The sequence below is a fragment of the Homo sapiens genome, chromosome 12 (genome assembly GCF_000001405.40).
Source record: "Homo sapiens chromosome 12, GRCh38.p14 Primary Assembly".
In the NCBI taxonomy this organism is placed as follows: Eukaryota; Metazoa; Chordata; class Mammalia; order Primates; family Hominidae; genus Homo; species Homo sapiens.
The window spans coordinates 18674496-18689096 of NC_000012.12; the positions used below are offsets into that span (position 1 = coordinate 18674496).

Below are 14601 nucleotides of genomic sequence, written 5' to 3' on the forward strand. Positions count from 1 at the left end.
TGAGCAAATACATGAATGTCCTCCTAAACTCAGAATTTTAATTCTCTCCAATCAACATTTAATCTAACATTTTCAGTCTGCCAACCATTATTCTTGAGAGAGTAAACCTACATTTTCTTGCTGTCATGCATTATAGTAGATGAAACATGGTCACAAATTTTTTGCAACTACTCCCATGAAGAGGCAAAGCATAATGTTCCACTGCTTGAAGCTAGGCTGGTCTTTTGTTTGCTCTAACTAACACGATAGAGTGAAAGTGATGTTGTATGACTTCTGTAATGAGTTGAAAGTGGTATGGTATGACTTCCATGCTCAGGCCTCAACACAGATTGCACCCTCTGCTCTTGTCCGCTTAGAACACTTCCACCAGCCTGTGAAGAACCCTGGGATGAAAGGTAACCTGGGGAGAGAGAGAAGACTAGCTGACTCAGCTATGTTAGCATTCAACTGAGGCTCCAGTCACGTGAGTGAAGCCATCTTGGAATATCTAGCCCCAGCCAACTCTCTAGATCAGCACTTCCAAAGACGGCAATAGTCTGTAACTACCTTATTCAATATGGTAGCTACTAGCCACTGACAGCTATTGAGCACTGGAAATGTGATTAATAATGTGGCTAGAGAACAAAATTTTAAATTGTATTTGATTTTAATTTATTTAAATATAAGTAGTCAAATTGGACAGAGCTGGTCTAGATGGCTACAGTCACATGAGTAAACTCTCCTCCTCCCTCTCCCACCTGGTAAAACCAGCAAATCAGCTTAGTCCAGCCAAATTGTAGTCTCATAAACAAATCGATGGCTGTTTCAAGCCACTCTGTTTTGGGGAAAGTTTTATAACCATTATAGAAGTCTAGGTACATTGAGACTATACCAACAGATCTTCACATGGATGCAGATAAAAGAGAATATTGATACACTGCTGGTGGGAATGTAAATTAGTACAACCTCTGTGGAAAAAAGTATGGGTATTTCTCACAGAACTAAAAGCAGAACAACCATTCAACTCTGCAATTCCACCACTAGGTATCCACCCAAAGGAAAAGAAATGATTATATCAAAAACATACCTGCACCTGTATGTTTGTCACTGCACTATTCACAATAGCAAAGTCATAGAACCAAGTAAGTGCTCATCAATGGTTGATTGGGTAAATAAAATGTGATATATATATCTATACCATGGAATACTACATAGCCAGGAAAAAGAATAAAATTATATCTTTTGCAGCAACATGGATGGAGCTGGAGTCCATTATTTTAAGTGAAATAACTCAGAAGTATCAAATACCACATGTTCTCACTTATAAGAGGGAGCTAACAATAAGTACAAATGAACAGATAGGTAAATAATAGACACTAGGGACTCAAAAAGGGAAGGGTGGGAGGGGGGTGAGGTTTGAGATTTTACTTTTTGGGTACAATGTTAACTATTAAAATGACAAGCACATTAGAAACTCAAACATCACAATTATATAGCCAGGTAACAAGCCTGAACATATACCTTCTGAATCTATTTAAAAAAAAACTTTTTGAAAGAAAGGAAAAAAAATTATACCATCAACACGAGTCAATAGACCTGTGTCTTTCTCATTCTTCCTGCTTTGCATGGGTGTCCTTAGACATTGCCATCTTGGGACTGTGAGGCAAGAGACAGCTAGAAAATGGACCCAAAACTGAATACATGGAACTGAAAAAACAAGAGAAAGAAACCAGGTCCTAATCATGTTGTTTGACCTTTAGGTCAAGCCTCTTTTGAGACCAGATTTACCTGTTCTCTTTAGCAATATGAGCTAATAAATGTCTATATTTGCTTAAACCACCAAGCCAGGTTCAGTGTACTTTGTAACTGAAAGAATCTAATATAATCCATGTCCCATAGTCAGCTTTTTTGCAGATGTCCCTTTAGCAAACTGAGCATCAGTCTCAGTACATTGACCCCTTGCTTCTTCAGTGAAAATGCCTGCATTTGCCTTGCTAGTATCCCATTGAGTACTCTCAACCACCTGAGGACTCTGTTCTCTCCTGTTATCACTTACATACATGGTAGTTATGTTCATTTTATAGTTAGGTGTCTAAGAAGGGAGTGTATTTCTTACTGTCTGACTCTGTTGTAGACTACAAAGAATAATCAGTCTAGCAAGATGAAAGTAGAACAATAAGCAGGACTATAGTATAAGCATTACTATAAATGTAATGAATTATTACTAACTTGCCTGCCCACTTAACTATTCCTGTTGTCTTACCTTTCTTTCTTCAGCAAAGTCCTAAAAGGTAATAGGTGTTAGAAAAACTAGAAGGTCAGAAGGGAAAGATTATGCTAGGAAGAGGTCTGAAATGGAAACACACATATAAGATTGATCACAGCCATGTAAAATAATAATAACAGGAAGATCTATGCATTCCTCATTTTTTAAAACTTCAGATTCCCAAAGACTGTAAAAGCAAAACTGTTTTTCTTATTTCCCAGAACATCTGGTTCAAACAACTTTGTTGCTTACTGAACAGATATTTGTCATAAATCACCATGAACAATATAAAGATGAATGAGAGTGATTCTTTCCCAAAAGGAAAATAAAAGGTACCAGGGAAGAAAGCTCTGTCTCTCCAGAAAGTTTGATGTAGAAAAGGGGAGTCTGTATCAGGGCTTTGGCTGAACACAAGATACTGTCATATTCCAACAGCAGATCCTGGTCAGGCTGCTTGCCACAATATGATGCACAAATATGTGAGCACTTTAAATCCAGAGAGCAAAATCTAAACCAGCATATGAATTGAGGAAAGATGGCGAGCAAGACAGTTTCTAGAAAGCTAAGCCAGGCACACGACATAGGCTGAATCAGCACCGTGCAATCAAACCGGTAATGAATAGAGGCAAGGCTAGTTGTTTTCAGTCCTGACCACTGATTAGAACAGTGGTTCTCAAATCTGAGCATGCATCTGAATCACATAGAGGGCTGGTTAGAAGGCAGACTGCTTGGCCAGACCTTCTGAGTTTCCAGTTCAGGAGGTCTAGGGTGAAGCCTGTGAATTTTCGTCTCTTAAAATGTCCCCTATGCTGTTTTCACTGGCTGAGGACCTAATGCAGTGCTTTAAGAGCACTGCTTTAGAATAACCTAAAGAATTTTCAAAAATCACAAAGCTGAAGCAGAACGCCACACCAATTTCATCAGAATCTCTTAAAAGGGAGAAAAGACATCAGTATTTTTAAAATGTTCTATATGATTCCAGTGTTCAGATAAGGTTAAGAACAACTGGTCTACATTTAAAACAAAAATAATTATTTGTGTTTTCTAAACATGTAGATAGATCTAAAAAATATAAGCACAAATCTATCCTTCCATTTTGGTTTTAAAATTGTACTTTAATAATTTGTCATAAAACACCTGATATTTATGTGTGAGCATGTGTATCCATATTCATGTGTGCTTGTGTATGTGGTGTGTTTGTGTGTGTGGATGCACATAAATGTATTTCAATCAAGAGAGTATGTCAATTAGCATAAAGAATATGAGAAATATAACTCTCATTGGTTAAATGAATGACATTGTGGATATGTGGATTTGCTATAAATATTATGCAAACAACTCTATACAAGTTTCTAGCAAGCCCAGCTGTCCACAGAGTCTAGAACAGTGCTTTACACCTCCTATTCATTCAATTCTGTGTCCCCACTTAGGAAGGCTTCTATCACCTGATCCAATTAGAGGTCTGGCTAATACTGCTGTTAGAACACACATTGTCACATCTGAGCCAAATAAACCTTTCATGCATCATTTACACAAGTTACTGGTCAGCGTGCTCAAAAGAAAGCCAGAATTATGCTATTTTTCTTTTCAGGATTTGAATTTTTTCAACTTTTTTGAGATATAGTTGAAGTTAATAAAGCTTCACGTTTGAAGTATACAATTTGATTCGTTTTGACATAAGCATATCCCTATTCAACCATCATGATAATTGAGATAAACACTTCCATCCATGCCAAAAATTTCTTGTGGCTCCTTTTAATCCATCCCTCTTTCCATCCCTAACGCCATTCACTGATTTTCTTTCTGTTACTATAGAAATTTAATTTGCATTTTTTGTTCTTTTGAATAAATGGAACCACACAGTACATAACTACCTTTTGCCTACATTCTTTCATTCATTTTAATCATTTTGATTCATTGTTATTAATGCATGTATGAATAGTCTATTCCTTTATTACATTAAATAGTATTGGATATAACATCATTTGTTGTCTATTCACCTGTTCATGAACATTTGGGCTGTTTCCAGTTTGGGGTTATTATAAAAAATCCTTCTATAAACAGTTATGGAAGCCTTTGTGTGGACATGTGTTTTCATTTCCCTTGAGTAAATATCTAGGACCAAAAAGCTTGAGTTATATGGTAGGGATGTGCTTGACTTTGTAAGAAATGGTCAAACTGTTTTCACAGTGATTGTCCCACTTTACATTCCCACTAGCAGTGATTGAGTTCAGTTCTCCACATCCACCTCAACATTTGGTGTGGTCATTTGTGTTTTATTTTAGCAATACTAACGATAACTCATTATAGTGTTAAGTTGCCTTTCTCTGATGATGAATGGCATTGAGCTTCTTTTCATGTGCTTATTAATCATTCACATATTTCCTTTTGGCAAGTGCCTGTTCAAATATTTTGCCCATTTTTCTTACTGGGTTGTCATTATTAAGGTGTAAGTATTCTTCATATAGTCTGGATATAAGTCCTTTGATATATATATAGCTTACCTTATCATTTTCATTATGATGTATTCAAAAGGCAGAAGTTCTTTTTAAAAAAATTTTGATGAAATCAACTCTATCATTTATTTTATGCCTCATGCATTTAATGTTTCAAGAAACCTTTGCTTATCCCAAGACTACAAAGATATTCTATCTGCTTTCTTCTAGAAGTTTCATAACTTTAGCTTTTTCATTTAGGTTTATGACCCATTTTGAGTTAATTTTTGTGTATTGTGCATTAAGTGACAACATTCATTTTTTCCAGATGGCCCTAGATTAATAACCCTGGTTCTGTCATTTACTGTAAACCATAGGCAATGTTTATAATGCCTGTAAACATTGCCTCAATGTTTCCGAGCCTGTGTCATTAACAATACAATGTAAGATTGCTGAAAGGATTAAGATTAATTTTTATTAATATTAGGCACACATTAGGCCCTGGCTAACGTTGCAGATATTGTGATTAATACATTAGAAAAAAGACTGCCCTGCGAGAAGAATGGAAAAGATGACTGAAAGTGTGAAAGTTAAATTATGTACACATGGAAAGTAGAAAAAGGGCACTTATCCCTGAAAACAGGTACATTATAAAGGCATTTAACACCAGCTCCCAGGTGTGCTGAGCTGTTGTGTAAGCGTAGAAGATACATAAAAGAAAATCTATCTCTTCATCAGTTCAAATCCACTTCAATTCAACCCTCCAGTGTTTGGAATGAGGGTTTCCAGTGGCTGGTAGAAGTAGCTTAACTATGAATCCTATAGAATGCTCAAATTTTATGGCCTAAGAATTTAGAATGCATCATAAGAACCCTTTGTTGGTACACATATTTCCAGTGTGTTATTACTTGGAAAGTAATGTAATTAAACAGATGTTTTTGCAGTACTGAGAAGAAAGGGATATTAAGAACTCTTGAAAAATGAAATCCAGTCCATATAGTCCCCCAGTAAAATGTCCATTGTTCAATCCCATAAGCATTTCACTCAAAAGGGATTCCATTCTCTCTGCACTAACCAACAGCACAAGCTTCTTCCTAGTGTGACTCCCAAATTTCCTGAGATTTACACAAAGATTTTGACTAGAACTCCTAGAGGCTCTGTATAAGGGACATGTTTTACATCCCTCAAGACACTCCCTTATATCCAACATTTAAAATGGAGACCTTCTTTTTACAGCTACAGGGAAGCTTCCTCACACCTCTTTCAGAGACAGGGCAACTTTACTCTTTAGCAACCAGCCTGTCATTTACCTCCAGTGACCATCATTTCCCAGACAAAAGTCCAGATAAGTCTGGGTAGAGAGACTGTACTCATCTTCTATTTGAGACCCTAACCAACCACAACCAGAAAAAGAATAAACCCTCAAAATTAACAACATAATTAAACTTTTCTGTAACACATGTAAGTACAAGATAATGGAAGAAGTCAGAATTTGTCCAGCCAAAGACAACCAGGAACACACAGTTGCATCTATTGCTCACTACAAAAGGAGACACAACATGGGAAGCCATAGGGCATCTCAGTAAGAGGGTATTAGAAAGGACTCACTATTGGATTTGGGCTTGGATTAAATGATCTGGGGGAGATTTCAAAAAAGTAGAGTTCTCCTCTGTATTTGGATGTCGTCAAGAACAGGGGTCAATTCTATGATTGGAGTAAATCTTATCTATATGATGAGAGGAGTAAATCAAGGCTAAAGCGATACTTGGTAATAAATTAATAGTCATTTATGTCAGCCAGGATAGGGGAGTGTGTAGCATTGTTGCGTTTGGACGATATTCATGTTTTTGCCGTGCATTCAGTCATGATTCCGGAATGTTCTTGTCTTTGTCGTGTTCCGTCATGGTACAGAGTGGCTGTGTCCGGGTTGATGCTCTGTGAAACTGTTTATTGTTCAACAAGGAAACACGACAGTTTAGCTGTGAGCTCCACGGCAGCTCCTAGCAACACTAAAGTCTGGCTGATAGTACAAAGTTGGTTCCTGACTGTCATTATCAGTTGTAAAGAAGCGTAAGTCAGGGAATATAACCTAATCTAGCAGAACACGGATGGCTTCCCTGAGGAACTGACTTTTAAACTAAGACTTTAAAGTTTAAAAAATCTTCTGTTGCCACAGTCTCAAGGGTTCATTTAGCCTTTTCCGATGTTTTCTTACATTTACCAACACAATTTTTTCTTGTAAATGAATTGTACCTAAAAAGCATTAATCAAATCTATCTTCTCACAACATTCCCAACCTATTCTAAATGTGAGAACATTCCCTGACTCTGGAGTTTTACATGAATAAAATCTGTTAATAGTTCTTGTGAGAAAATTCTAATCAAAATTCTAGTTCAATACATAGGGACATTAAATGATAAATAATGCAAATTTTAAAATGGAACCAAAAATGTTTCAAGACATCATAAGATTCTTGAACAAGAAATAAAATAATTTAATATTTCTCGCAAAGTCCGTATTCCTAATATAGAGTGGAATATTTCAAAATGAACAATTTGGTCTTCAAAATTAGTGAGATAAGTTTGGTACCTAAAGAAAAGGAGAGAAAATAAAATATATCCTTTTTCTCTCTCATTTCAAAGCTTGATGGTATAAATGAGAAGTTTATTCCACTGCAGAATTAATGAACTCTCTTGTAAAACTCGCTTGATTAAAGCCTTTAAATTTCATGGAATTCCAGATCTTCAAAAGGCCTTAGGAGATTAGGGAAGGGTAAAGCGTTGGGTCAATGGGCTGAAACTCCCTCCTGCTGTCATGCTGAACAGTAGATGATTTAAATAAGATCCATTCATTATCTGGCAAAACAGAGGCATCTTTCTAAGAATTGGCTGTGCATCCCTACTGGGAAGGGTGTGCACTGATCTTAAATCCAACAGCCCTTGAGGTGGAAACTGGAAGATTGTGCACTTAGTAACCACATCCATTTCTTACTACCTATGGCTTGGGAATTTGAATTCTCAGTGATACGTTTATTTTAAACATTTAGTACTGAGAGTAAACCATGATAATAGTAAAACATGCTAGTTGGGTTATATTTTCTGGTCATAAAGATATCACGTGTTAGTACACATCCCAAACATTTTATTATTTTAGTTATTAGTTAGGATTCCATTGCAAAAGTCCCTATTAAAAGTCCCTGACTTTGTCAAACTTTGTGCTGGGTGCTTTCACATCACTACTATGCAACAATGTGGTAGAATTAGTATTAATATCAGTGGTTCCATATTGTTCTACATGACATTTAATAAAGCAAAGTTTTGCTGTTGGTAAGAAGTCCAGCAAGTGAGATAGCACAGGAACTTCATCTCTGACCAAGAAACCATCTTGAAAGTATATTTAGTATAGATTCAGAAACATTGCAAATTAATTTAAGATCCAAGCATGTAAGTCCACACAGTAGATCTCTTTTATAGATACGGAGTCTGAATACAGTTTGCAGGCAAATCAATTTTATACACACTCGTAAAAATGGCTGTCTAATTACAGGGTACCAACTCCAGTGCACAGCATCTAAGAACTAGCATAAGAATGCAGGGGCTAATTACTCTCCAGGATATGAAAAGGCTCAGAGGGCCTGGCAATCTAATTCCTTCCCACAAAAATACGCAGTAGTGGGTGTCTAGAAGTTAAAACACTCTTAGATTTCACATTTCTTTTATACTGCTAAATATTTGCCAATGTATATTTTATAATTAGATGTATTTCAAAAGCTTATAAATTCTAGTAATTAAAAATGATACAAGCCAGTTGAAAACAACTCAGCAGCAGAAGGGCAGGAGAAATCAGCAAACAAGAACGCCATGCTGGGTTAGGACCCTCTGAAGTTTCTATTTTCTTTTCTTCCACTGATTTATTTTTGTATATTTTTAAGTGAATGGGCTCAATATTTCTAGTTTTATGAGTAATTATTTTTCTTTATGTTTAAAAAAGAAAACATAAAGACATTCATTTTGGCTGTTTTATTGCGATGCATAGCTAATGATATGTCATTTATCATTAGCTGTTATCTGACGTACCAAACATAAACAAACAGTGAAGCAGGCTCAAGGCTCTCACCCATTCTGGAAAACAGAGGAATACGACGATAACCTGCAAAAGGAATTATATCTAATTAGACCAATAACCAATTAATCAGTGGTGTCTCCAATAGCCTTGCTGAGAAACAAGAGCTCTTTACTAAGCCTACATTAAAAACCATGACTATAGAGTTATATTCCCATCTGGTATATTAATCTTCCACAAAAATTAAATATTTGCATTTTCTATTCTGACTTCCTAACTGCCCAAAACTGAATACACAGCTCATACTTCTCCTTCCGCAAAGCGCTGCATGATCCAAAATTAGCCACCACCCTTCTGCTTCAGGAAGACCTGTTTCCTAGGCACATCTCAGATGCTGTTAGAAAAGTAAGCATATTGAGACAAGGTAATTGGGAGCACAGTGTAAATCACCCTGGAAAGGTGACTCTGCAACATAAAGGTAGTCAGCCCTGAAAAGGGGTCAGGAAAGGATAGTCTCAGGCTCCCAATCTCTTCTCCTCAGGCAGGAAGAATGAGTCACTGCTTCTCCCTTCTGGTTGCCACCCATCATCATTTCTTTATGGTAGTCATGACTACTCTTTACTGAAACAGAAGAACTAGGATGCATGTAAAGAAATGCTTATACATGCCAAGTTTGTCTAATTAGCCTTCCTGTCAGTCCCACACCCCCACCCCACCTTCCACATGAGAACACATTTTTATAATTCCACAGAGAAAAAATATGTGTCAATACATAAAATTTCCTTTACATCCTACTTTATGATAGAGCTATTTGGTATGTCAAAATGTGTCTTTGATATACACAAGTTATATTTAAATGCTGGTACAATCATCTAACTTTTAGGGACATTACCTTTGTTCATGCATAGAAGTGGCAAAGTATATTGCCCAAGAAATTCATTTCCTGCTATTAAACCTTGACCTTCAACAACAAAACGTATCAATGCCAATTCTGGGACATGAATAATAAATGTGAATGTTTCATTCCATCTTGGACTAAAAGCTGAAATATAAAAAAAGAAGATACAAAGAATAATAGATACCATATCTAGGAAAAAATAGATTACATTTGTTCTCCAAACTTTTTCTTTTCAACCCTTTAACAATAATATCTTGTGTTTAGAGCACATAGGTTTTTAATATACTCAGTGTGAGAGGAATAATAACCAGACAATAATGAGTGTTTACTATTGCTGGGCAATGTTCTAAGAATGGATCAACTCAATTAATTCTGATAACCACCCCATCAGGGTGGGATGGGAAAACTGAGCCACAAAGATGTTACATAATTTCCTAAGGTTTCACATATGTGGTCATTAAGTGGCAGATCAGGAATTCAAAAACGGGGAGTCTGACTTCAGAGCAAAAGCTTTTAATCATTATGCAATATGACTGATGTACTTAGGCAATTCTTTAGCAAATAAATTGAGAAATGAAGAAAATTAAGTAACATCATTTTTCTATACTAAGTCCTTGATATGGTTAAGCTTTGTGCCCCCACCCAAATCTCATCTTGAATTGTAATCCCCAGGTGTTTAGGAAGACACCTGGTAGAAAGTGACTGGATTATAGGGGGCTGTTCTCATGATAGTGAGTGAGTACTCATGAGATCTGATGGTTTTATAAGGCAGTTTTCCCCACTCTTACTAGCAATCTCCTGCTGCCACATGAAAAGGTCCAAATTTGTTTCCCCTTCACCTTCCACCATGATTCTAAGTTTCCTGAGGCCTCCCCAGCCATGAGGAACTGTGAGTCAATTAAACCTCTTTCCTTTGTAAGTTATCCAGTCTCAGGTAGAATCTTTAGAGCAATATGAAAATGGACTAATACAGTCAGTCTTATTATGGGAAGAGTTCCATACTTAGTTGTTAGACTGAAAGCTAGATAACAAACTAAAGCCAACTCTTGATCCTTCTTTAGACTAAGTGCTCCTTTCAAAGTCCAAAGTTGATGAATTTCAATCTCTAAGAAAATAAATCATCCCAAGCAACCAATTTCTGCCAAGCAAGAAATCCACATCGTGTCACAGTATGACCCAAATCATCCAAAAAGTAAAGCGTAATTTAACAGAATCAAGAAATTCACATCCAGATTAAATATAAATTCTGCTTAATAAAGACTCAAAGGTTTGGAGAAGAATCATGTGTATTATTTTTCATTTACAAAGGCAATGCTACACTTGCTATGTCAATAGTTTTTGTTCTTTGACTTACATTTCCAGAAGCACTGATGAATTTCTAATTATACTATATCTATGTTTTCTATGGTTCACCTGTGGTCACAAGAGCACATTTACCACATAGCAATCTAGGGTGCAGTCTATGCCCACAGAAATAGTAAACTAATTGGCTCATGCTGGAATAATGACCATATTACCTTGACCTAAGAAGAGAAATAATTTCATGGGGTACAGAGGCAGGTTTAGAGTCAATTCTTTATAGATACTGCAAAACATCTGCAGAAATGTTTATACTGATTTCTTCTTCCTCCAATCCTACTTCATTACACATGTGCCTCTGCCTCCCTTCCATCCTCCTCCTGTATCTCTCTCTGTCACACACACACACGCGCACACACACACACACACACACACATACAATAATATGGATTAATTATAAGAGAAAGCCCTCACTTTCAGTTGTCAACATAAAAAAAAGTAAACCAGGATACCAAATTTGATAGTGATGAAAATAGTTATCCTAGACATGACCAAAACTGAAGAATTATTTCCACATTTTATCCAAATGTTATCCTTTTCCTCCCAGACTCTCATGTCTAGCTAAATCATCTTAAAATTCTTCTTGTCCAGCCATCTGGACGTTGACTTCTGCGCAGTGTTTCTCACTTACATCCCCCATTCCTTTCCTACTGCCACGGCCTCCTTTATACCATGACTTTTATATCCTCTAACCACTGAAATTTTATCCTGACTCTACTTTGTATTTCTCATTTCCCTCTCGTATACTTCTTCTCAAATCTGCAGAAAAAAACCTAACACTCAACTCTGTTAAAGTTATAGCCCTACTTAAAAGTCTGAATTTTATCCATTTTCTAGAAAAAAGAAAGTTCCTGACACCTTAGCATGGCTTTTGAGATTTTCCATGACCCTCCCTAAATAATTTTCTCATTTTATCTCTCACTAATCTTTCTTAAGCACCCTATATTCCACCCATCTTGAGTTTCTTGGCTTTTCTCTAGCATGTTTAAATTGTGTTTTCTTCATATTTTAGGACTTGTGTTCTGTCTCTGGTATGTTTAAATTGTATTTTCTTCATATTTTAAGACTTATATTATGGCTTCTGCCTTAAATGTCCTTGTCCCCAATCTCTAAAAAATTCTACTCATTCTCCAAGAACCATCTCCAAAAGTGCCCCCTTGGAGTACAAATCTTTGTACTCTTCTTGAAGCACGAATTACTCTAAATCATAATTATTTTACTTATAGCATCATCTTTCACACTGAACTATAAACTATCTATAGAAGAGTTCGTTGGTCCATATATAAGAATTCATTTAATAAACAGATTTTAAGTCTTTTACTACTCAGCACAAGGCTTTTAGCATAGCAGAGGCTCAGTAATGTTTGATGAACCAAATTGAATTTCTGCAAGGATATTCCCATAAAATCCAAGGAGGTAATACAAATTCTAGAATCACAGTATTATAAGGGGTGCATTGAATAAATTAAGTTTCTAAGCATTTTGTGATGAAGATTCAAGTAGAGGATGGAGGGAACAAGAGATAGATTATTATAAGCTTCATGACATCAGCAGTTACTATCTCTGGACACAGCCGTAGCAATGTGCCTTCAACTCTAAAGGGTGTCAAATGAGGCAGGAAGTCATCATCAATATCCCTTCCCATTGATAACATAGGATAAGGCAATAAAATCTTTCCAAATCTTTTTCCATGACTTTCGCTCTAGAAGCCACACTGGAAGTATTCAGGGGAGTGCAAAGGAGGCAGACTATGGACATTGTTAGAAATTATTATCCAAGAAGAAAAAGAAAACTGTGCCTGCTACTCTGTCATTGCCATTTGATCTGGAGCATATTTCTAGACTCTGGAATGAAGTCCACTTTGCTTTGAGAATATCCCTTGAAGAAGATTCCAGACTCAAGAATCAGTTCCAATGTCTCCTTCAAGGTGATCCTGACCAGGGATCAATCCCAGGAACCTATCCTTTTCTAATTTCCTTAGTCATTTCAACCTCAGAGAAGAAATGGCAATGCCAGTACTATACTGTGTAAGATGTCATAGCATGCCAGAATGATGAAAATCTTACCAAAGTTATTTCCCTTAATTCTTCACTTCCCTTATGGCAAAAATGACTGAATTATCCAAAAATTCTATCAGTAGGCTTCTATGGCATCCTTAGCCTGATTCAGAAGCCATAGACTTTTAATCTAAAATAATTCAAATAATTCATTATAAAAATATATAATATGCTGTGTCAAAAATCACAAATTTTTGATTTAATACAAAGGCTAGAAGCTAAGTAGATTTGAGGCTGTTAAAATGCCTTCTTAATTCGGTGATATGAGAGAAAACATAAAAAAGAGGTAAATTTTTTTTAAGCAATAATTTTGAAGGTCAGGTACATTTCTGTATTCATAATCTGAAAATACAGCTAAACAACCTAATCATTATAAAAATGTTTTTGTTGCATATAACATTTTGCTAATTTTGGACATAATGGAAAACCCTTGTCTTATGAATAATAAATATGTACAAAAACTCTATCAACATATAATTTGTAAGCTTTCCAACAAGAAGTCTAATGGAAATTCAATAAGGTATATCAGGAGCTCACCATTTTTTTTAATTACACGAGTCTGCTGCTTCATTTGATCATTTGGAACACCAAAAACTTCTATAATTACTAATGAATCACCTTTGTTAGATGATGAATGAGTAAGAGGCAACTGGATACCACTGATGAGCTGCACAAATATATATGAATATAAGAATTTAGCAAGATATTAAGTTACATCACCATTTATTTCAAAATTAAGTTATGTATTACAAAAAGTTGATGGACTCTAAGTCAGCTCCCACAAACATTGAAAGTGGAATACAATACAAATTTTAAAATTTAAGTCTTTTATCCTCAGTTATCAGTAGATAAACACCAAGAATATGTACAAAATTATAGTGAAATCCACAATGTCCACAATTTTTGATTTATTAACATATTTTTGTTTTAAAATCATTTGTTATGATCACATTTCAGGGAATTCAGGTCGAGTTACTCTGATAACGTACTGTTTTTGAATTCATATATATATATATATATGCTGGAAAAAATTTAAAGCAATAGAAATATTACTTTTTAAAAAATGTACCATTTAACTCCCTGTGATAGCATTTTCTGAGTTTCACAAAATCAGTTATTTCATATGTATATTAGGGACTGGGTATCAAAAAAATCTTAACAAAGTAATTAATAATAATTGTATTTAAACTTGTATTTGCCAAGCTAATTGTTGAAGCAAAAATGTGTTATAATTTAAGGAACAAAATGAGCACACAACAAAACTATATTTGAAATGTACTGACTTAGGCTAAGAGATAGAAGATATAAGCCTAAAAACGCAGTTATAAAAATTGAGGCATAATTCCAATTTCTGAAGGTTACATAAGGAGAAACAAATATATAATTAAGTTTGATTATAAAGGAATAAAGAAAGGAAAAGAGGGAAGGAAGGAGGGAGAGAAGGAGTAGAAAAGAAAGGAAAAGAAAAAACACTAATGTGTGATTTTTCCTAATTCCACAGATTACGGCATTAGCTAGAAGCCAGTATGACTATGCAACTGTTTA

General features: G+C 35.5%; 2 protein-coding genes across 21 annotated transcripts in view; one reads left to right on the forward strand and one right to left on the reverse strand.

Moving 5' to 3' along the window:
- The window catches only part of PIK3C2G (phosphatidylinositol-4-phosphate 3-kinase catalytic subunit type 2 gamma), a 483857-nt gene that overhangs the window by 431535 nt on the left and 37721 nt on the right, over nucleotides 1–14601 (forward strand). The window contains exon 34 of one of the 6 annotated variants that reach the window (XM_011520697.3): nucleotides 357–1200. The exons of the other annotated variants lie outside the window; for them this stretch is intronic. Within the exon in view, the coding sequence (XP_011518999.1) occupies nucleotides 357–377 (21 nt within the window). The 3' untranslated portion in view covers nucleotides 378–1200. Of the gene's footprint in view, nucleotides 1–356; nucleotides 1201–14601 lie in introns of those variants that run through there. 6 annotated transcript variants of the gene reach the window in all.
- The window catches only part of PLCZ1 (phospholipase C zeta 1), a 92404-nt gene that overhangs the window by 28887 nt on the left and 48916 nt on the right, over nucleotides 1–14601 (reverse strand). For 8 of the 15 annotated variants that reach the window (XM_047429828.1, XM_017020183.2, XM_017020178.2 and 5 more), the window contains 4 exons: nucleotides 13594–13723; nucleotides 9635–9784; nucleotides 8757–8829; nucleotides 6566–6623 (listed from right to left, as the gene is read on the reverse strand). In XM_047429828.1, the coding sequence (XP_047285784.1) occupies nucleotides 6581–6623; nucleotides 8757–8829; nucleotides 9635–9784; nucleotides 13594–13723 (396 nt within the window). In that variant the 3' untranslated portion in view covers nucleotides 6566–6580. Of the gene's footprint in view, nucleotides 1–6565; nucleotides 6624–8684; nucleotides 8830–9634; nucleotides 9785–13593; nucleotides 13724–14601 lie in introns of those variants that run through there. The other 7 variants (XM_024449255.2, NM_033123.4, NM_001330774.2 and 4 more) reach the window with 3 other exon arrangements.